Source organism: Homo sapiens, chromosome 7, assembly GCF_000001405.40.
Source record: "Homo sapiens chromosome 7, GRCh38.p14 Primary Assembly".
NCBI classification, from domain to species: Eukaryota; Metazoa; Chordata; class Mammalia; order Primates; family Hominidae; genus Homo; species Homo sapiens.
In genome coordinates, this window is record NC_000007.14 from 5533177 (window position 1) to 5554814 (window position 21638).

At 54.3% G+C, this 21638-nt stretch overlaps 6 annotated features.

Moving 5' to 3' along the window:
• Positions 143 to 192: an enhancer, noted in NCBI's record as "active region_25596". NCBI's record gives its function as "activates an Ori minimal core promoter by ATAC-STARR-seq in GM12878 lymphoblastoid cells {active_cell/tissue: GM12878}" and the evidence as "EXISTENCE:reporter gene assay evidence [ECO:0000049][PMID:35858748]".
• Positions 402 to 1271: an enhancer, noted in NCBI's record as "H3K27ac-H3K4me1 hESC enhancer chr7:5573209-5574078 (GRCh37/hg19 assembly coordinates)". NCBI's record gives its function as "activates a minimal SCP1, AML or CMV promoter by ChIP-STARR-seq in naive H9 embryonic stem cells {active_cell/tissue: H9 hESC(naive)}" and the evidence as "EXISTENCE:reporter gene assay evidence [ECO:0000049][PMID:30033119]".
• Positions 8598 to 8647: an enhancer, noted in NCBI's record as "active region_25597". NCBI's record gives its function as "activates an Ori minimal core promoter by ATAC-STARR-seq in GM12878 lymphoblastoid cells {active_cell/tissue: GM12878}" and the evidence as "EXISTENCE:reporter gene assay evidence [ECO:0000049][PMID:35858748]".
• Positions 8738 to 8787: an enhancer, noted in NCBI's record as "active region_25598". NCBI's record gives its function as "activates an Ori minimal core promoter by ATAC-STARR-seq in GM12878 lymphoblastoid cells {active_cell/tissue: GM12878}" and the evidence as "EXISTENCE:reporter gene assay evidence [ECO:0000049][PMID:35858748]".
• Positions 13592 to 14091: an enhancer, noted in NCBI's record as "H3K4me1 hESC enhancer chr7:5586399-5586898 (GRCh37/hg19 assembly coordinates)". NCBI's record gives its function as "activates a minimal SCP1, AML or CMV promoter by ChIP-STARR-seq in naive H9 embryonic stem cells {active_cell/tissue: H9 hESC(naive)}" and the evidence as "EXISTENCE:reporter gene assay evidence [ECO:0000049][PMID:30033119]".
• Positions 20194 to 21039: an enhancer, noted in NCBI's record as "H3K27ac-H3K4me1 hESC enhancer chr7:5593001-5593846 (GRCh37/hg19 assembly coordinates)". NCBI's record gives its function as "activates a minimal SCP1, AML or CMV promoter by ChIP-STARR-seq in primed H9 embryonic stem cells {active_cell/tissue: H9 hESC(primed)}" and the evidence as "EXISTENCE:reporter gene assay evidence [ECO:0000049][PMID:30033119]".

Consider the following 21638-nt stretch of genomic DNA (forward strand, 5'->3'; position numbering starts at 1 on the left):
AACCCTCGGTTGAACTCAGCCAAGGGGACTCCACCTGCCTGGCTGGGACTTTTGTTTTTTCCCCTCCAAGCCTTTGCTTTGGTGACACCCCCACCCTGCAAGGCCTCCAGGCAACCAACTCTTACAGCGCAGACCCAGGGACCACTCCTTGGCCCTCCCGCAAAACAACCACCCAGCCACCTTGCCCTGGGCACTGCAGCGCCCTCCCTATCCTGCCAGGAGGGAATCCAACCTCCTTTTTATTATTATTACTATTTTTGATACAAGGTCTTGCTGTGATGCCCAGGCTGGAGTGCGATCACAGCTCACTGCAGCCTCGACCTCCTGGGCTCAAAGCCTTCACGAGTAGCTGGGACTATAGGCACACACTTCCAAGCCTGGCTAATTTTTAAATTATCTGTAGAGGTATGGCTTCTCACCATGTTGCCCAGGCTGGTCTCCAGCTCCGGGGGGCTCAAGCGATCCTCCCACCTCAGCCTCCCAAAGTCCTGGGATTACAGGCATGAGCCACCGTGCCCGTCCTCAAGCTCCATTTTGTAGAGGAAGGAACTGAGACAGAGCTTCCCTCCAAGACTTGAGTTAGCTCTAGGAGGACAGGGACCCTGAACACGGTAGGTGCTCAGTGAGAGGAGAATGAATGAATGAGGGGGGGCAACATTCCAGGAGACACACCCCCATTCACAGACTAGGAAACTGAGTCAGGACTGGTGAAGTGCTCAAGTCCCCAAATGCGGTGGGAAGGACTCTAGCCTCAGGGTCCCTGAGGCGGCAGCCCTGCCTCCTGCCTCACACTGCCCCTCCCTGGTAAAGGGTCCCCTGGAATGTCCCCAAGGCCTGAGTCCAAAGGCTGTTTGAAAGTCGGAATTCCTGGGCCCTACCTCCCTCCTCAGAATTTATCACCTGAGGCCCAGAGAGGACACCATCAGCCCATGGTCACGTGGCAGCAAGTGGGGTCTCTCCCACTGGGGTGTGATGGCTTGTACCTGTAATCCCAGCATTTTGGGAGGCCGAGGAGGGAAGATCGCTCGAGCCCAGGAGTTGGAGACAAGCTTGGGCAACACGGGAGATCCTATCTCTACAAAATCAGCTGGGTGTTGTGGCACGTGCCTGTACTCCCAGCTAATTGGGAGGCTGGGGCAGGAGCATTGCTTCAGCGTGGAAGGTCAAGGTTATAGTGAGCTATGATCAAGTCACTGCATTCCAGCTTGGATGACAGAGGAAGACCCTGTCTCAAAAAAAAAAAAAAAAGAAAAGAAAAATTAAATTTAAAAATTAGGTGCTCCAGGCTGGGCGTGGTGGCTCACGCCTGTAATCCCTGCACTTTGGGAGGTCAAGGCGGGTGGATCACCTGAGGTCAAAAATTCAAGATCAGCCTGGCAAACATGATGAAACCTTGTCTCTACTAAAAATACAAAATATTAGCTGGGCATAGTGGCGCGTGCCTGTAATCCCAGCTACTCAGGAGGCTGAGGCAGGAGAATCGCTTGAACCCGGGAGGCAGAGGTTGCAGTGGGCCGAGATTGCGCCGCTGCACTCCAGCCTGGGTGACGAGCAAAACTCTGTCTCAGAAAAACAACAACAAAAAAGTTGGGTGCTCCAGCTTTTATTCATTTAAAAATAAAATAGCCGGGCACAGCGGCTCACACCGTAATCCCAGCATTTTGGGAGGCCGAGGCAGGAGGATCTCTCGAGTCCAGGAGTTTTGAGGAGCATGGTGAGACCCTGTCTCTACCAAAAAAAAAAAAAAAGACAAAATTAGCCGGGCATGGTGGCATGTGCCTGTAGTCCCAGCTACTGGGGAGGCTAAGGTGGGAGAACTGCCTGAGCCTGAGGGGTCGAGGCTGCAGTGAACCAAGATCATGCCACCGCACTCCAGCCTGGGTGATAGAGACCCTGTCTCCAAAAAAAAAAAAAAAAAGTAAAAGAAAAAGAAAAAGTAGGTGCTCCCGGTTTATTTATTTAATTTATTTTTAGAGATAAGGTCTCTAAAAATTTTAGAGACAGGGTCTAGCTCTGTGGCCCAGGCTGGAGTGCAGTGGCATGATCACAGCTCACTGCAGCCTTGACCTCCTGGGCTCAAGCGATCCTCCTGTCTCAGCCTCCTGAGTAGCTGGGACGGCAGGGATGCCACCACATCTGACTAATATTTTTATATTTTGTGGAGATGGGGTCTCTCTGCAATATAACAGGGTCTGTCTCCCTGTGTTGCCTGGGCTGGTCTCGAACTGCTGAGCTGAAGTGATCCTCTCACCTCAGCCTCCCAAATTGCTGGGATTAGAGGTGTGAGCCACTGCACCTGGCCTCAGTTTTTTGTTGTTGTTGTTGTTCGTTTTTAGTTGTTGTTGTTTTGAGATGGAGTCTTGCTCTGTCGCCCAGGCTGGACTGCAGTGGCACAATCTCAGCTCACTGCAACCTCTGCCTCCCGGGTTCAGGGTTCAAGCGATTCTCCTGCCTCAGCCTCCTGAGTAGCTGGGACTACTGGCTCGCACCACCACGCCCAGCTAGTTTTTTTTTTTTTTGTATTTTTAGTAGAGATGGAGTTTCACCATGTTGGCCAGGCTGGTCTCAAACTCCTAACTTCAGCTGATCTGCCCACCTTAGCCTCCCAAAGTGCTGAGATTACAGGTGTGAGCCACCATGCCTGGATAGTTTATTTATTTATTTATTTATTTTCCTTTTTTTTTTTTTTTTGAGCTGGAGTCTTGCTCTGTCACCCAGGCTGGAGTGCAGTGGCACGATCTCCGCTCACTGCAAGCTCCACCCCCCTGGGTTCGCGCCATTCTCCTGCCTCAGCCTCCCCAGTAGCTGGGACTACAGGCGCCCGCCACCACGCCCGGCTAATTTTTTGTATTTTCAGTAGAGACGGGGTTTCACTGTGTTAGCCAGGATGGTCTCGATCTCCTGACCTTGTGATCCGACCGCCTCGGCCTCCCAAAGTGCTGGGATTACAGGCGTGAGCCACCGTGCGTGGCCTATTTTTTCCTTTTTTGAGACAGAGTCTTGCTCTGTCGCCCAGGCTGGAGTGCAATGGCGCCATCTTGGCTCACTGCAACCTCTGCCTCCCGGGTTCAAGCGATTCTCCTGCCTCAGCCTCCTGAGTAGCTGGGATTACAGGCACCCACCACCCCACCCAGGTAATTTTGTATTTTTAGTAGAGATGGGGTTTCACCATGTTGGCCAGGCTGGTCTCAAACTCCCGACCTCAGGTGATCCGTCTGCCTTGGCCTCCCAAAGTGGTGGGATTACAGGTGTAAGCCACCACACCCGGCCTTTATTTATTTATTTATTTATTTATTTATTTATTTATTTATTTATTTTGAGATGGCGTCTCGCCCTCTGTCACCAGGCTGGAGTGCAATGGTGCCATCTCAGCTCACTGCAACCTCCACCTCCCGAGTTCAAGCGATTCCCCTGCCTCAGCCTACTGAGTAGCTGGGACTACAGGCGCGTGCCACCACGCCCAGCTAATTTTGTTTGTATTTTAGTAGAGACGGGGTTTCACCATGTTGGCCAGGATGGTCTCCGTCTCCATCTCCTGACCTTGTGATCCGCCCGCCTCAGCCTCCCAAAGTGCTGGGATTACAGGCATGAGCCACCGTGCCCAGCCTATTTTATTTTTTAAAATAAAACAGAGTGGGGTCTCTCTGCCTCCTGGCCACCTTCTCAGCCTTAAGGGCCAGCTTCAGGCTGCCTTCTCCAGGAAGCCTGCCATGACTTCCTCCCTCTTCTACTCTAACAGCAGAAGGTTTCCTGCTCAGAAAGGGGCAGTGACCCAGCCAGGATCACCCAGTAAGGGCACAGCCAGGAGCTGAAGGGCCTTTTGCCTGGAGCAGCTCCTGGATCACACTGCTCCTGCATGCAGCACACCGTCACTGACCAGCCGGACATGCTTCCAGAGTTAACTGGCACTGTTTTGAGAAATGAGAAAAGCACCCTGAAGAAAGCAAGCACAATTCCTAAGACAGATCTTAAATGAGAGAGAGAGCAAGAGAACAACAAGTTTAATGGCATCAGGAGGAAAAGCAACAGGTTTCCTTCAGAATGAGGTATTAGGGGGTGCTGGGTGTAGTGGCTCATGCCTGTAATCCCAGCACTTTGGGAGGCTGAGGCAGGCAGATCACGAGGTCAAGAGTTTAAGACCAGCCTGGCCAACATAATGAAACCCCACCTCTACTAAAAGTACAAAAATTAACCGAGTATGGTGGTGCACACCTATAGTCCCAGCTACTCGGGAGGCTGGGGCAGGAGAATCGCTTGAACCTGGGAGGCGGAGGTTTCAGTGAGCCAAGATCGTGCCACCGCACTCCAGCCTGGGCTATAGAGCGAGACTCTGTCTCAAAAAAAAAAAAAAAAAAAAAAAAAAAAAGGAGGGTGTTGGGCCGAGTGTGGTGGCTCACGCCCATAATCCCAACACTTTGGGAAGACAAGGTAGGAGGATCACTTGAGTCCAGGAGTTCAAGACCAGCCTGGGCAACATAGCAAGACCTTGTCTCTATATTTAAAAAAAAAAAAAAAAAAAAGGAAGGTGCTTTTTTTTATTTTTCGAGTCAGGGTCTCACTTTGTCACCAGGCTGGAGTGCAGTGGTGGAATCTCAGCTCACTCCAGGCTCAACCTTTTGGCCTCCATTGATCCTCCTACCTCAGCCTCCTGACTTACTGGTACTACAGGTGTGTACCACCATGCCCAGCTAATGTTTTGTAGAGACAAAGTTTTGCCATTTGCCCAGGCTGGCCTCCAACTCCTGGGTTAAAGCAATCCACCTGCCTCAGCCTCCCAAAGTGCTGGGATTACAGGCATGAGCCACTGCACGCAGCAGAGAGTGCTGCTTAGAAAGCAGTCAGGGGGCCAGGCGTGGTGGCTCACGCCTGTAATCTCAGCACTTTGGGAGGCTGAGGAGGGTGGATCACGAGGTCAGGAGATCCAGACCATCCTGGCTAACACGGTGAAACCCCGTCTCTACTAAAAATATAAAAAATTAGCCAGGCATGGTAGCGGGCACCTGTAGTCCCAGCTACTTGGGAGGCTGAGGCAGGAGAATGGCATGAACTTGGGAGGTGGAGTTTGCGGTGAGACGAGATCGTGCCACTGCACTCCAGCCTGGGCGACAGAGCAAGACTCCATCTAAAAAAAAAAAAGAAAAGCAGTCAGGGAGGGCTCCTCAGAGGAGGTGACCAGCAGAGCCTTGGTCCCCACATACACCTGGCCTCCAGACATAGCCTGGGGTGGTCACTTGGCTGCCTTCAGTAGCTCTGCCCTGGGCCTCTGCAGCTCCTTGGCAGAGGCACCAGGCTAAGGGGAATCCCTGCCCCAGAGGAAGTGGGAACTTCTAACACTTCTTGGGAGAGTTTTAAAAAATCCTTAAAAACTACCCTCTGTCTCCAGCCCGCAGGGTACCCGGAGAAACCCTTCCAGCCTTCCTAGGGAGTTCCTGGACTTGCTTATTTGATTGAATTATTCAGAAAAAGAAAATGCGGTTTCCTGGGCTTCCCCCTTACACACACACACACACACACACACACCACACCACACACACACCCCACACACACACACCCCACACACACCACACACACACACCACACACACCCCACACACACACATCCCACACACACACCACACACACACACACCACACACACACCCCACACCCACACACCACACACACACCACACACACACACTGAACGCTTTTTGCTTTCTCTGGACCCATCTGCTGTAGGGCCAGCTCTCCCCCTTCTCCAGATGAGAAAGAGACCACATGTGCAGAGAGGAACTGGATCCTTTGGGGCCTGCAGGCCTAGGCTGTGGGCGCTTGGAGGGGGAGGCTGCGGGCACCCTCATCCTCCCCGGGACTCACAACCACTCTCCTAGAGGCCAAGGTAGCCCTTGGGACTCAGGACCCTTCTGGTTGTCCCGAGTGGGGCCTCAGAAGCTGGGTGACAAGTTGGGCCAGGAGAGATGGGGGTCAGTAGCAAGTTCAAGTTCAGGTCAAGTGGGGTTCCCGAGGCCCTGGCTCTGACACCCTCTTGGGGTGCTGCACAGGCCAAGGGTGGGTCCTTCCCATGCTAAGGACTGTCCCAGGCAGTGGCTTCCCTGCCCTGGGCCTCTTGCCCTCAGCTGTGAAAAGGGGCAGGGGGTTACCTAGCTCCCAGGTGGCCCCTGAGAGGGGCCAGTGAGGCGGGGTCTGCAGTCCAGGCCCAGGGTCAGTGCGAGGGACTCGCCCCTTCCTGGCTGGCTGGGCTTATCCCTGACGCTCTCCTGCCTGGCCTGGGACCTCAGAAATGCCCCTTGGAGCTGGGCATAGTGGCTCATGCCTATAATCCCAGCACTTTGGAAGGCTGAGGCGGGCAGATCACCTGAGGTCAGGAGTTCAAGACCAGTCTGGGCAACATGGTGAAACCCCATCTCTACCAAAAATACAAAAAATTAGCTGGGTGTGGTGGCGGGCACCTGTATTCCCAGCTACTCGGGAGGCGGAGGCAGGAGAATCAGTTGAACCCAGGAGGTGGAGGTTGCAGCCAGCTGAGATCGAGATCACGCCATTGCACTCCAGCCTGGGCGAGAAGAGCAAAACTCAGTCTTAAAGAAAAAGAAAGAAAGAGACAAAGAGAGAAAGAGAGGCTGGGCACGGTGGCTCACACCTGTAATCCCAGCACTTTGGGAGGCTGAGGCGGGCAGGATCGCCTGAGGTCAGGAGTTCGAGACCAGCCTGGCCAACAGGGTGATACCCCATCTCTACTAAAAATACAAAAATTAGCTGCGTGTGGTGGCGGGCACCTGTAATCCCAGCTACTCGGGAAGCTGAGGCAGGAGAATCCCTTGAACCCGGGAGGTGGAGGTTGCAGTGAGCCGAGATCGCGCCATTGCACTCCAGCCTGGGCGACAAAGAGCGAAATTCCATCTCAAAAAAAAAAAGAGAGAGAGAGAAGGAAGGAAGGAAGGCAGGCAGGCAAGCAGGCCCCTTGGGAGGCCAGGCACCTCTCAGCCTCAGTCTCCCTTGTTCTGAGGTGGGGTGAAGATTCCCACCCGTGGTTCTGATATGGGGGACACGTGATTGGGCTGGGATGGAGCTCACATCCTTCAGCCCCTCGGGGTGCCTGAAGAACTAAGAACGGAGGCCGAAGCACAGTGGCTCACGCCTGTAATCCCAGCAAGCAGGTAGGTGGCTAAATACAAAAATTAGCTGGGCGTGGCGGCACATGCCAGTAATCCCAGCTACTCGGGAGGCTAAGGTGGGAGAATTGCTTGGACCCAGGAGGCAGAGGTTGCAGTGAGCCGACATAGCGCCATTGCACTCCAGCCTGGGCAACAAGAGCAAAACTCCATCTCAAAAAAAAAAAGAAAAGAAAAGAAAAAAAGGGATGATTGCCTGAGCCCAGCAGTTTGAGGCTGCAGTGAGCCATGATCGTACCTCTGCACATCAGCCTGGGAGACAAAGCGAGACCCTTTCTCTAAAAAATAAGTTTTAAAATAAATAAAATAGTCTGGGGCACTGGCTCCTACCTGTAATCCCAGCACTTTGGGAGGCCATGGTGGGTGGATCACTTGTGGTCACGAGTTCAAGACCAGCCTGGACAACATGTTGAAACTCCATCTCTACTAAAAAAATACAAAAATTACCCAGGTATGGTGGCAGGTGCCTGTAATCCCAGCTACTCGGGAGGCTGAGGCAGGAGAATCGCTTGAACCCAGGAGGTGGAGGTTGCAGTGAGCTGAGATCACACCACTGCACTCCAGCCTAGGCAACAGAGCAAGACTCCACCACACACACACACACACACTTTTTTATTTAAAAATTTAAAAAAATGTCCCTTGGAGGTGGGGCAGTGGCGGTATGGGTGAGGCCCCCTTGGAGGGGTGGAGAAGGAGAGAAAAGGGAGGTGTTGGGAGGTGCAGGCGGACGGGGCAGCTGCTGACTGAGGAGGCCACTGGCTCACCTGCCTTGGGGCTCAGCCTGTCCTCCTGGCCACCCCCAGTCCAGAGAGGAGAAGGGAAGACAGAGGCCCCAAGGGCCTACTGTGTGCTGGGCGCGTGTCAGGGTGGTGCCCACGTCACCTCATCAAAAGCACCCCACACCCCTGTCGGCCAAGTGGGACTCTCCCATTTCTCAGATGAGTAAACCGAGGCCAGGGAAAGTGAGAGACTTGGCCCTATAGTTAACACGGTTTGGCTATTACCAGGATGTTCTGGAACATGATTATCCAGGTCCTGGCCCAGGGCCACCATTCATGGCGAGCTTCCAAGGGCCCACCAAGTCCTTCAGCCTCTATGTGGTTGTTGTTCTCAGCCCCATGTTTCAGATGGGTAAACTGAGGTTTGGAGTGGCCAGTGGGAAGAGGCAGAGCCAGGCTCGGTGGCTGCAGTTGGCCTCGCTGCCCTGCCGTGGGGCGCATTCAGGGTTCACTTGGTGCTCCTGAGCTGGCGTGGGCTCCTGCAGTCCCGGGGCCTGCCTGCCCAAGGGGAAATCCGATCACAGCCACCGCGCAGCATCACCAGGCCCTCCTCAGCCAGAAATCTCTGCCACTGCTGGGCTTGCCAGGAACCTGAGCCGGCCCGTGGGGGACAGGCCCAGCTGTCTGGGCTTCCTGAGGTGTCTCCCATACGCTGCCCCGTGCCAGGTGCTGGGGACAGGAGGGGACCTCCCTGGCATGCACTGTCCACTGGGGACAGGGGCACAGAGCTGGCCAGCCCTGATCCCATGAGACTGGTCCTGTGCAAACCCAGGGAAAGCCCCAGACCCAGCCTCAGTGCAGGGAGAGTCCCAGAGGCCTCCTGGTCTTCGATTTTGCCGGCTCAGGCAAGAAGGGGTTTGGGGTTTCTCTTGGGACTTCGGCTTCTGCTGGGGACAAGGCACAGGCAGGGCTCCCTGACCTCCCTGAGGAAGCCCCGCCGCTCCGTTTCCCAGGTCTCTAGGGGGTAATTTTTTTTTTTAGACGGAGTCTCGCTCTGTCACCCAGGCTGGAGTGCAGTGGCGCGATCTAGGCTCACTGTAAGCTCCGCCTCCCGGGTTCACGCCATTCTCCTGCCTCAGCCTTCCGAGTAGCCTATAGGTGCCCGCCACCACGCCCGGCTAACTTTTTTTTGTATTTTTAGTAGAGATGGGGTTTCACCATGTTAACCAGGATGGTCTCGATCTCCTGACCTCGTGATCTGCCCGCCTCGGCCTCCCAAAGTGCTGGGATTACAGGCTTGAGCCACTGCGCCCGGCCTCTAGGCGGTAATTTTTGCTACTTAAGTCACCTTGTCTGGCACGGTGGCTCATGCCTGTAATCCTAGCACTTTGGAAGGCCTAGGCGGGCAGTTCACATAAGGCCAGAAGTTCAAGACCAGCCTGGCCAACATGGCGAAATCCCATCTCTACTAAAAATATAAAAATTAGCAGGGTGTGGTGGCACATGTCTATAATCCCAACTACTCAGGAGGCTGAGGCATGAGAATTGCTTGAAATGGGGAGGTGGAGGTTGCAGTGAGCTGAGATCACACCACTGCACTCCAGCCTGGGCAACAGTAGAGACACCGTCTCAAATAATAATAATAATAATGTCACGTGGGCTCTCCGATAGCCAAGGGCCATCAAGGCCAGAGATGACCAAGGCCCAATGTTGGGACCTCCATACCTTTGTCCCTGGGGCCACCTGGGCTGCACAGACATGTAGCATTGGGGGTGACAGTGGAGAAAGGCACACAGATGTCCCTGAGGCTGTGACCCGGGACATGTAAGGCTGGAGGGCTGGTCCAGGCTCAGGTGGGACTTAGCAGTGAGCCAGCTGTGCACAGGCCAGGGTGCTAAGCGTTGGGCCCTCTTAGCTCAGCAAAGCCGGAATGAAGCCGGGCGCGGTGGCTCACATCTGTAATCCCAGCACTTTGGGAGGCCGAGGCAGGCAGATCACCCGAGATTGGGAGTTCAAGACCAGCCTGACCAACATGGAGAAACCTCGTCTCTACTAAAAATACAAAAAAATTAGCCGGGCTTGGTGGCACATGCCTGTAATCCCAGCTATTCCAGAGGCTGAGGCAGAAGAATTGCTTGAACCTGGGAGGCGGAGGTTTCGGTGAGCCAAGATTGCACCATTGCACTCCAGCCTGGGCAACAAGAGCGAAACTCTGTCTCAAAAAAAAAAAAAAAAAAAGCCACAGTGAAGAGCGCCCCAGATCCGGTGGGGCTCTACAGAAATAGGCATAGCATCCTTCCCACGCTGCGAGACCCCCAGAATAGTCTTTTGAGGAACCTGATCTTTCCTACTCGGAGCCACTTTCAGGCTTTATATTAAGTAGGGTTCAGCCATGCCACTCACACACTGGATGTCCTTGGAAAGTGACTCAGCCTCTTCAAGCCCACAAGCCTCAGCAAGGCCCTGTGTGGGTCAGGTGCAGCGGCTCATGCCTCTAATCCCAGTCCTTTGGGAGGCTGAGTTGGGAGGTTCGCTTGAGGCCAGGAATTTGAGACTAGCCTGGGCAACATAGTGAGACCCCATTTCTACAGAAAAAATTTTAAAAGTTAGCTGTGTGTGATAACATGTGCCTATGGCCCCAGCTACTCAGGAGGCTGAGGCAGGAGGATCGCTTGAGGCCAGGAGTTAGAGACTAGCGTGGTAAACATGGCAAGACCCCTGTCTCTACAAAAACAAAAAAAGACAAAAAAACATGACCCCATGTGTATGACACTGACTGGGGAGGCGGGGCTTCCAGGCCTTTCAGGGACTTGTCACAGACCCTCTAGAAGCTGGACACAAAATGAGGAAACCAGGCCAGGCTTGGTGGCTCTTGCCTGTAACCCCAACACTTTGGGGGGCCAAGGCAGGTGGATCACTTAAGGTCAGGAGTTCAAGACCATCCTGGCCAACATGGTGAAACTCCATCTCTACTGAAAATGCAAAAAGTAGCTGGGCACAGTGGCGCATGCCTGTAATCCCAGCTATTAGGGAGGCTGAGGCAGGAGAATCGCTTGAACCCAGGAGGCGGAGGTTGCAGTGAGCCAAGATCACGCCACTGCACTCCAGCCTGGGCGACAGAGCGAGACTGTCTCAAATTAAAAAAAGGGGAGGGCCGGGCGCGGTGGCTCACGCCTGTAATCCCAGCACTTTGGGAGGCCGAGGCGGGCGGATCACGAGGTCAGAAGATCGAGACCCTCCTGGCTAACACGGTGAAACCCCGTCTCTACTAAAATATAAAAAATTAGCCGGGCATGGTGGCGGGCGCCTATAGTCCCAGCTACTCGGGAGGCTGAGGCAGGAGAATGGCGTGAACCTGGGAGGTGGAGCTTGCAGTGAGCCGAGATTGCGCCACTACACTCCAGGCTGGGCGACAGAGTGAAACTCCGTCTCAAAAAAAAAAAAAAAAAGGTGGGGGAAACCAGGCTCAGAGATGATCGAAGTCTCAGCCAGAATCACACAGCACACGTGGCGAGCCAGAGCCCAGGCCTGGAGGGCCGGGTAGGGGGATGCACCTTGCATGCCGCTGGGATATTGAGGACAATTTGAATCTTCTTTTTTTATTTTTATTTATTTATTTATTGATAACAGAGTCGCTCTGTCGCCCAGGCTGGAGTGCAGTGGCACCATCTCAGCTCACTGCAACCTCTACCTCCCGGGTTCAACTGATTCTCCTGCCTCAGCCTCCCGAGTAGCTGGGACTACAGACGCCTGCCACCATGCCCAGCTAATTTTTGTATTTTTAGTAGAGATGGGGTTTCACCATGTTGGCCAGGCTGCTCTTGAACTCCTGACCTCAGGTGATCTGCCCACCTCGGCCTCCCAAAGGGCTGGGATTACAGGTGTGAGCCACCAAGCCCGGCCGCAATTTGAATCTTCTGCTGGGCCAGGCTGGTCTGTCCAGGGGGGATGCAGGACCCCGAAGCCGGGTGTGGTGGTGCATGCCTGTGGTCCCAGCCACTTGGGAAACTGAGGTGGGAGGATTGCTCAAGCCCAGGAGGTCAAGGCTGCTGTGAGCTATGATTGTGACACTGCACTCCAGCCTGGGCAACAAAGGGAGACCCCTTAACTAACTAAATGAATGAATGAATGAATGAATGAAGGCAACCTGAGCTGCATTCCTTGGCCTGCCAACCTGCCCAGCCCCATCCCTCAGCCCTCCCTGAGTCTGAGGGCCCTGCAGGTCCCACACAGGGCCAGGCTCCATCTTGTTTCTGCAAATTTGCACCTTCCGTTCCATTCCCTGCCACACTGCTCACGGGTCACCATGGATGCTGGATAACTGCCACCGTCTCCTTGGAGAAGCCCTCCGTCATCTCAGCCCCTGATGTCAGGTATTCAACCTGCAAATCCTCCCTGTAGGTGCTGGGCTCTCCAGAGCCCTGGGCTGTGTGCAGGGGACTCAGGGGAGAACGGGCCCCACCCAGCTCCTTCCTCACAGAGCTTTCAGAGGCTGGGGGCCTCCCTGATCCCCTCCCAGATCCCAAGGCCCCTGCTGCCCCCACCCTGCAGACTGGGACTCCGTGAGGCTGGGCTCTGACTTGGATATTGTGGTTCCAGCACACAGCAGGCACCGTGGCTGTAGTAGGCGTGCATGGGAAGTCAGGAGGAGCAGACCTGTCATCTCCCCTGCTGAGGACACAGCCCGGTCAGCGTGTCTTGGCGGCCTGGGGCCAGTGACTGAGCCTCTTGGCCCAGTTCCTTGCCCACCTTGAAGATCTGTAGGGAGGGATAAAGAGATCAGGTCCAAGGCCAGGTGCGGTGGTTCACGCCTGTAATCCCAGCACTTTGGGAGGCCGAGCCAGGCAGATCGCGAGGTCAGGAGTTCGAGACGAGCCTGGCCATCATGGTGAAACCCCGTCTCTACTAAAAATACAAAAATTGGCCAGGCATGGTGGCAGGCGCCTGTAATCCCAGCTGAGGCAGGAGAATCGCTTGAACCCGGGAGGTGGAGGTTGCAGTGAGCCGAGAGCGAGCCACTGCACTCCTGCCTGGGTAACAAAGCAAGACTCCATCTCAAAAAAAAAAAAAAAAAAAAAAATCAAGTCTGGCGCAGCCCCAGGAAGCAATCTTGGGCTGGGCACACCGCATTTCTGTGACATGAAGGCAGCGACACCTCGTCGCTGTCACAGGGTTGCTGGGGTTGGGGGCTAGAGGAGAGGAGGAGCCTCTGTTGAGGGCTCCAAGAAGGGACAGAGAGGTGGTGCTCATGGGTCCTGGAGACACCTTTTGGGTGGTTCGTGCCCTCCATCCTGGGCCACTTTGGGGAGGTGAAGGAGGGAAGCATTAAGGGACAAGACCCCCCGTTCCCAATTTCTCTCCGGAGCCAGGGTTTCTCTGATTCGAAGAAACAGGTGTCACAACCCAGGAAGTCCACTGATGGCATCTGCCCTGGGGCATCAGCATTTAGGGCTGATCACTGAGGTCTGCACCTCCCAAGGCTGCTGTGCCCATTCCTGGGCGCCCCAAAGGGGAAGAAAAACTCCTGAATGTGCACCGGGACAGGACCCATCCCATGCGGTGACAGAACCTCATGATAGCGCCCGGCGCTCTGGATATTCAAACTGTGGAGCCCAGCAAGGGAGCGCCGGTGGTCGGGCAGGGTCAGAGGGGTTTTGAGGGTGTGCGATGGCTGCTGTGGTGAGCCACTGGCATGCCTAATACATGCAAGACCTGTTGCCAGGCCCTGAGCTGCAGAGCCACCTGGACCAAGGTCACTGTGGTGGCAGGGTGCCCACATCCATCAGCTGCTGGCCACAGGATTGCGAGCCCTGGCCATCTCTGCCCAATGCCAGGCACCTCTGAAGGGCCTTCCGGCTACAGAGCTCCTGCGGGATGGGCCGGGGTGTCCCTGGCCATCATGGTGTCCCTGGGCCTGCATTGAAGCTCAACTTCTGTTGACCCCAAGGGCACTTCTTAATAGATGTCCTACTCTTTTTTTTTTTTTTTTTGAAACAGAATCTCACTCTGTCACCCAGGCTGGAGTGCAGTGGTATGATCTTGGCTCACTGCAACCTCTGCCTCCTGGGTTCAGGCAATTCTCCTGCCGCAGCCTCCCGAGTAGCTGGGATTACAGGCTCATGACACCATGCCCGGCTAATTTTTTGTATTTTTAGTAGAGACGGATCGGGGGTCTGTTGCCCAGGCTAGTGTGGCACTCCTGGGCTCAAGCAGTCCACCTGCCTTGGCCTCTCAAAGTGCTGAGATTACAGGCATGAATCACCACACCCAGCCTACATCCATCCATCCATCGATCCATTCATCCATCCATCCATCCATCCATTTAGACAAAGTCTGGCTCTCTGGCTGTGTTGCCCAGGCTGGAGCGCAGTGGTATGATCTCAGCTCACTGACCTCCTGGGTTTGACCTCAGCCTTGACCTCCTGGGTTCAAGCAATCTCCCTGCCTCAGCATCCCAAGTCGCTGAGACTACAGGTACACACCACTATGTCTGACTGTTTTATTTTTTGTAAAGATGGGATCTTGCTGTGTTGTCCAGGCTGGTCTCAGGTGATACTCCAGCCTGGGCCTCCCAAAGTGCTGGGATTACAGGCGTGAGCCACTGTGCCTGGTCGTCTCTAGTCCTTGGAGCACCAAACTCCTGCCTGCCACAGGGCCTTTGCACTTGCTGTGCCCCCGACATACCCTCCTGTCAGGCTCTCCCTAAATTGTCTCCTTGGTGGACTCCTATTCAGACTTCAAGGCCCAGCCCAAAAGACCCCTCCCTCTCTGGAAAGCCTTGCCAGTTCTACCACACAGAGCTTTTTTAGCTCTTTCTTACTTATCCTTCAGGGCTCAGTGTCAGCATCACCTCCTACAGCAAGTCTTCCCTGATCCCTAGACTGGGTCGGGACTCTTGTAGTATTTTTTGTCATACTGGTCACAGTGGATAACTAAGTGTATCTGTGTGATGATGGGTTTATGCTCTGCCTCGCTGCTCCACAGGCAGGAATGACATTTGTTTGTTTCTTTTTTGAGACAGGGTCTCACTCTTGGCCCAGGCTGGAGTGCAGTGGTTCAATCATAGCTCACTGCAGCCTCAAACTCCGGGGCTCAGGTGATCCTCCCACCTCAGCCTCCGGAGTAGCTAGGACTACAAGTATACAACACCACACCTGGCTAATTTCTTTTTTTTTTTTTTTTTTTTTTTTTTGAGATGGAGTCTTGCCCTGTCGCCCAGGCTGGAGTGCAGTGGTGTAATCTTTGGCTCACTGCAACCTCCACCTCCAAGGTTCAGGGCAATTCTCCTGCCTCAGCCTCCTGAATAGCTGGGACTACAGGCGTGCATCACTAGGCCTGGCTAATTTTTGTCTCAACTATGAGACAGGGTTTCACAATGTTGGCCAGGCTGGTCTCGAACTCCTGACCTTGTGATCCACCCGCCTCAGCCTCCCAAAGTGCTGGGATTACAGGTGTTAGCCACCACGCCCGGCCAAATTTCTTGTACTTTTTGTAGAGATGGGGCCTTCCCTTGTTGTCCAGGCTGGTCTCAAACTCCTGGGCTCAAGCAATCCCCCTGCCTCAGCCTCCCAAAGTCTGGGATTACAGGTACAAGCCACCACATCTGGCCTTGATACCTGTTTTGATCACTTTGGGATCATGGCATGTAGTTAGGACTCAGTAAACTCAGCTCCTACTTGCAAATAGGAAGAAAGGAAGGAAGGAAGGAGGAAGGGAAGGAAGGAAGGGAAGGAGGGAGGAGGGAGGAGGGAAGGAATAAAGGAAGGAAAGAAGGAGGGAGGGAGGAAGGAAGGAATAAAGGAAGGAAGGAGAGAGGGAAGGAAGGGAGGGAGGGAAGGAAGGGAGGGAGGGAAGGAAGGAGGGAGGGAAGGAAGGAGGGAGGGAAGGAAGGAGGGAGGGAAGGAAGGAGGGAGGGAAGGAAGGGAGGGAGGGAAGGAAGGAGGGAGGGAAGGAAGGAGGGAGGGAAGGAAGGGAGGGAGGGAAGGAAGGGAGGGAGGGAAGGAAGGAGGGAGGGAAGGAAGGGAGGGAGGGAAGGAAGGGAGGGAGGGAAGGAAGGGAGGGAGGGAAGGAAGGAGGGAGGGAAGGAAGGGAAGAAGGAAGGAGGAAGGGAGGGAGAGAGGGAAGAAGGAGAGGGAAGGAGAGGAAAGGAAAGGAGAGGAGAGAGGGAGAGAGGGCAGACCCCGTTCTATGTCAGAAGGGACAGAAGTAACATCCGGAAGGGATGTGTTATCTGTCAAGTGAGTGAGCATCCTGTCCCAGGAGTGTGTCCCAGGAGGGTGTGGGCACACCCTTGGCAGGAATGGTGTCCCGGGACTGCCAGAGCTGTTGAGGAATAGCGCTAGGGAGGAAAGGGCTGGGCCGGCTTCGGGCTCACACCTTCCAAGGATGTCAGAGAGGAGGGTGTGTCACAGGAAGTGCCTGGGTCTCTGGGCTGTAACTGACTCACCGGGACTCTGATAATATTAATACTCAGACGCCAGACTGCAGCCTGTTCTCCAGAGGCCCCCAGGGGAATGAATCAATGACTGTCTGATATCCTGAATGTGTGTTAGAGGCTGACCTGGAGGAGGCAGCTAACCCAGCTTGAGGAACTGGCAAGGCTTTCCTGAGGAAGGGTCTTTTGGGCTGGGCCTTGAAGTCTGAATAGGAGTCCACCAAAGAGACAATTTAGGGAGGGGTTGACACGGGGGGATGTTGGGGAAACTGCAAGTATCTGATGTGCCTGGGCTCTTTGGGAAGCGTCTGGAGAGACTTTGGTGGGGAGGTCTGGACTGGACACCATTTCTATCCTGGCCAGTACCCAGCAAAGTAAGTGAAGAGGCCGGGCGCGGTGGCTCACGCCTGTAATCCCAGCTATTTGGGAGGCTGAGGCAGGAGAATTGCTCCAACCCGGGAGGCCGAGGTTGCAGTGAGCCAAGTTCGCACTACTGCACTCCAGCACTCCAGCCTGGGCAGCAGAGCAAGACTCTGTCTCAAAAAAAAAAAAAAAAAAAAAAAAAAAAAAAGGCTGGGTGCCGTGGCTCACACCTGTAATCCCACCACTTTGGGAGGCCGAGGCGGGCGGATCACGGGGTCAGGGGATCGAGACCATCCTGGCTAACACAGTGAAACCCCGTCTCTACTAAAAATACAAAAAATTAGCCGGGCATGGTGGCGGGCGCCTGTAGTCCCAGCTACTCGGCAGGCTGAGGCAGGAGAATGGCGTGAACCCAGGAGGCGGAGCTTGCAGTGAGCCGAGATCGCGCCTCTGCACTCCAGCCTGGGTGACAGAGCGAGACTCCGACTCAAAAAAAAAAAAAAAAAGGTGTTGGGGAGATCTGGAGTGAGAAAGTCTAGTTGGACAAACTCCATTGAGAAAGTCTAGTTGGATGAGGAGGCTTGTGGGGGCATGGGCGCTGGGTGAGCCCTCTTAGCACTGCCTACCCCTTTCTCTCTGCCCTGATCCATCCCAAGACACAGCGTGGGACAAGAAGTCAGAGGGGACCCTGGGTGCTCGAAGCAATGGACCGGACCCATTGTACAGATGGGAAGACTGAGGTGGGCAGGGACAGAGCCCACGCTTACACACCTAAGCTCAGCTTGGGTTCTGGAGCCCATGAAGGCAAGAGACAGGCTCCCCTGGAGTTAGGCTCCACATAGAGGCAAGTTGACTGGGCCAGCTTCTGGGCCCAGCGCTGGGGCACTGGAAGACCTGCCAAAAAACTTAGCAGAAAGTAGGTACTAGAACTCTGGATCAGGCCTCCCAGCTAACAGCCGCGGGACCTCTGGGCTTCCTTCCCCCAAAGCTGGGGGAAGGTGAGCTTTTCCTCCCCCTCAGCCCTGGCCCAGAGAAGAAAACAGAGCTTGCAAGGTCACACAGCAAGAATGTGGCACTGGAACTCAGCTAAGAGGTGGGAGAGGGCCTTGGAATCTAGAGATTAGCCGGTGTCTGGAATGCGTGGGGCAGGAGTGTCCTCAGAGGAGGACCGCAGGGCTGGGCATGGGCTCAGGAGCTTCGGCTTTGTTCCCTAAGGGCAATGGGGAGCCATGGAGGGTATGAGAGCAGGAGAGAAGCAAAAGATGTTTCAGGAGGTGGCTCTACATTATAAAGGACCCAAGAGGAGTCCAACACAGACCCTGTGACCTTGGATTTCAGATTTCTGTCCGCCTCTGGCCAAGTAAAAGTTTGTGTTAGAAGTTGTAATCATGGGCCGGGCGTGGTGGCTCACACCTGTAATCCCAGTACTTTGGGAGGCCAAGGCATGTGGATCACGAGGTCAAGAGATAGAGACCATCCTGGCCAACTTGGTGAAACCCCGTCTCTACTAAAAATACAAAAATTAGCCAGGCATGGTGGCGCATACCTCTAGTCCCAGTTACTCAGGAGGCTGAGGCAGGAGAATTGTTTGAATCCGGGAGGTAGAGGTTGCAATGAGCTGAGATTGCGCCACTGCACTCCAGCCTGCCAATAGAGCAAGACTCCGTCTCAAATAAAAAAAAAAAAAAAAAAAAGAAGTTGTAATAATAGGTTGGGTGCAGTGGCTCACGCCTGTAATCCCGGCATTTTGGGAGGCCGAGGAGGACAGATCACTTGAGGTCAAGAGTTCAAGACCAGCCTGGCCAACATGGCAAAACCCCATCTCTACTAAAAATACAAAATTAGCCAGGGGTGATGGCACATGCCTATAATCCTAGCTACTCCGGAGGCTGAGGCAGGAGAATCGCTTGAACCCGGGAGGCAGAGGTTGTGGTGAGCCAAGATGGTGCCATTGCACTCCAGCCTGGGCAACACAGTGAAACTCCATCTCAAAAAAAAAAAAAAAAAATAATAATAATAATACTAACAACCTGTGTGTCTGTGTTGCTTTTTCCGTTTTTTGATGCTTTATAATTTGATTTTGCCCCCATGGCAACTCCGAGATGTAGGCAGGGCAGCTGTCATCACACCAGTTTATTTTATATTTTATTTTATTCTATTTTTATAGAGATGGCTAGGGGGAGTCTCACTATGTTGGCCACGCTGGTCTTGAACTCCTGGCCCCAAGCAATCCTCCCACCTCAGCCTCCCAAAGTCATCACGTCATTTTATAGCTGCGGGTCCCTGGGCCAGTAGTTGCAGTCGGTGTGTGCAGCTCCCACGCCTTCCATCAGGGCGTTGCCCACCTGGATGAGGGGAGGTGGTGAGCCCCTGCCTAAGACCCCCTGTCCCCTCTGGCCCAGACATCCTTCAAAGGTCATCAGGAGCCAGGCCCTGTCCTGCTCTGTCCCTGTCAATTCCCAACAGAGGCACAGGCCCCTGTTTTCTCATCTGTAAAATGGGGTGGGCCGAGCGCAGTGGCTCATGCCTGTAATCCCAGCTCTTTGGGAGGCTGAGGTGGGTGGATCACTAGAGTTCAGGAGTTCAAGACCACCTGGTCAACATGGTGAAATCCTGTCTCTACTAAAAATACAAAAAAATTAGCCAGGCACGGTGGCACGCGCCTGTAATCCCAGCTACTTGGGAGGCTGAGACAGGAGAATCGCTTGAACCCAGGAGGCGGAGGTTGCAGTGAGCCGAGATCACGCCACTGGACTGCAGCCTGGGCGACAGAATGAGACTCTGTCTCAAAAAATAAAATAAAATAAAATAAAATAAAATAAAATGGGGTGGAAACCTGCTGTATGGAGTTCCTGGGAGGACAACGCCAGCGTGTCCAGGAATCAGACCAGCGCTGCCCGCAGCTCCCGTGTTAGTAAAACGTTAGCTGTCATTACTGCTTACGTGCCCGGGGAGGGAGGAATCAGGAGCCACTGGCCTCTCTGTGGGTTCCAGGGAAGGAGGGCAGGGGAGGTACAGAGAGAAGGAGCAGAGTGTTCAAGGATCGGATGGAGGCTGAGCTTCCTGGCCATGCCTTAGCTCACACCCAGCGACCTGAGTCCAGCGCAGAGGACAAAGGGCAAAAGGCAAAAGGCAGGGTCTGGAGTCTGGCCTCTCCCTGTCATCCAGGGGCCACTCCGGGCATTATCTAGGTTTTTTTTGAGACGGAGTCTCGCTCTGGCGCCCAGGCTGGAGTACAGTGGCGCGATCTCGGCTCACTGCAAGCTCTCCCTCCCAGGTTCATGCCATTCTCCTGCCTCAGCCTCCGGAGTGGCTGGGACTACAGGCGCCCGCCACCATGCCCGGCTACTTTTTTGTATTTTTAGTAGAGACGGGGTTTCACCGTGTTAGCCAGGATGGTCTTGATCTCCTGACCTTGTGATCCGCCTGTCTCGGCCTCCCAAAGTGGTGGGATTACAGCCACTGTGCCTCGCCTATCTAGGCTTAATCATGACAGCCATCCTTCCCTAAGGGTGCACCGGGTGGGGTGCGGGCCCTCTATCTCTGAGCTTTTGCAAGCAGGCCCCCTCTGCCCCCACCTGCCCACTGAACCATCACCCTCAGCCTGGGGGCAGGGAGCAGATATGTTACTGTCCAGAAATGGAGGCCCGGAGGCTCCCAGAAGAGGGAGGTGTCAAAATGCCACAGTGCATTCCTTCCTTGGGGAGCTGAACCAGAGGCCACGCCCAGCCACAGCCCTGACACCCTGACACTGGACATTTCTGGGTGGGTCATAAGAAGTCACAGCCTGAGGCCGGGCACGGTGGCTCAGGCCTGTAATCCCAGCACTTCGGGAAGGTGAGGCAGGAGGGTCACTTGAGCCTGTAATCCCAGCAATTTGGGAAGCTGAGGCAGGAGGATCACTTGAACCCAGGAGTTTGAGACCAGCCTGGGCAACATGGTGAGACCCCATCTCTACAAAAAAAATACAAAAATTAGCTGGGTGTGGTGGCACGTGCCTGTAGTCCCAGCTACTCGGGAGGCTGAGGTGGGAGAAACACCTGAGCCCGTGAAGTTGAGGCTGCAGTGAGCCATGATCACACCACTGCACTCTAGCCTGGGTGACAGAGCAAGATCCTGTCTCTAAAAAAACCAAACAAAAACAAACAAACAAAAATTAGCCTGATGTGGTGTCAGACGCCTGTAGTCCCAGCTACTCAGGAGGCTAAGGTGGGAAGATCACTTGAACCCAGTAGTTTAAGACCAGCCTAGGCAATATAGCGAGACCCCATCTCTACCAAAAAAAATTAAAAATTACATGCACGTGGTGGCTCACACCTGTAATCCCAGCACTTTGGGAGGTCAAGGTAGGAGGATCACTTGAGCCCAAGAGTTTGAAACCAGCCTGGGCCACAAAGCGAGACCCTCTCTCTATAGAAAATCTAAAAATCTAAAAATTAGCTGGGTGTGGTGGCACTCGCCTGTGGTCCCAGCTACTAGGGAGGCTGAGGTGGGAGGATCATTTGAGCCTGGGAGGTGAAGGCTACATGAGCCGTGATCAGACCACTGCACTCCAGCCTGGGTGAGAGAGTGAGACCCTGTCTCAAAAGAAGAAAAAAGCAAGAAAAGAAAACCAATAAATCACAGCCTGTCAGGCGGCTCATGGGGACCCTCCTTGGGAATATCTAGAACAACATTCCTGGTGTCTGGAGCTGTCTAGTCAGTCCTTACGGCCCAGCAGCAGGAGATCAGAACTTTTGCCTCATCCAGGGTTAGCCCTGCCGTGTCTGGCCTCAAAGTGCCCATCTGTATAATGGAGCCAACGGCCTCCTAGGGCCCTAGGTGGACGCTGGACAACCTGGGTGGGGCGGAGCGGGTGGCATTTGGAGCAAGATTTCCCTACTGGGAGTCCCTGGCCCCAGACAAGAGTCCTTCTGGAGTCCCAGAGCTGTGTGTGTGTGTGTGTGTGTGTGT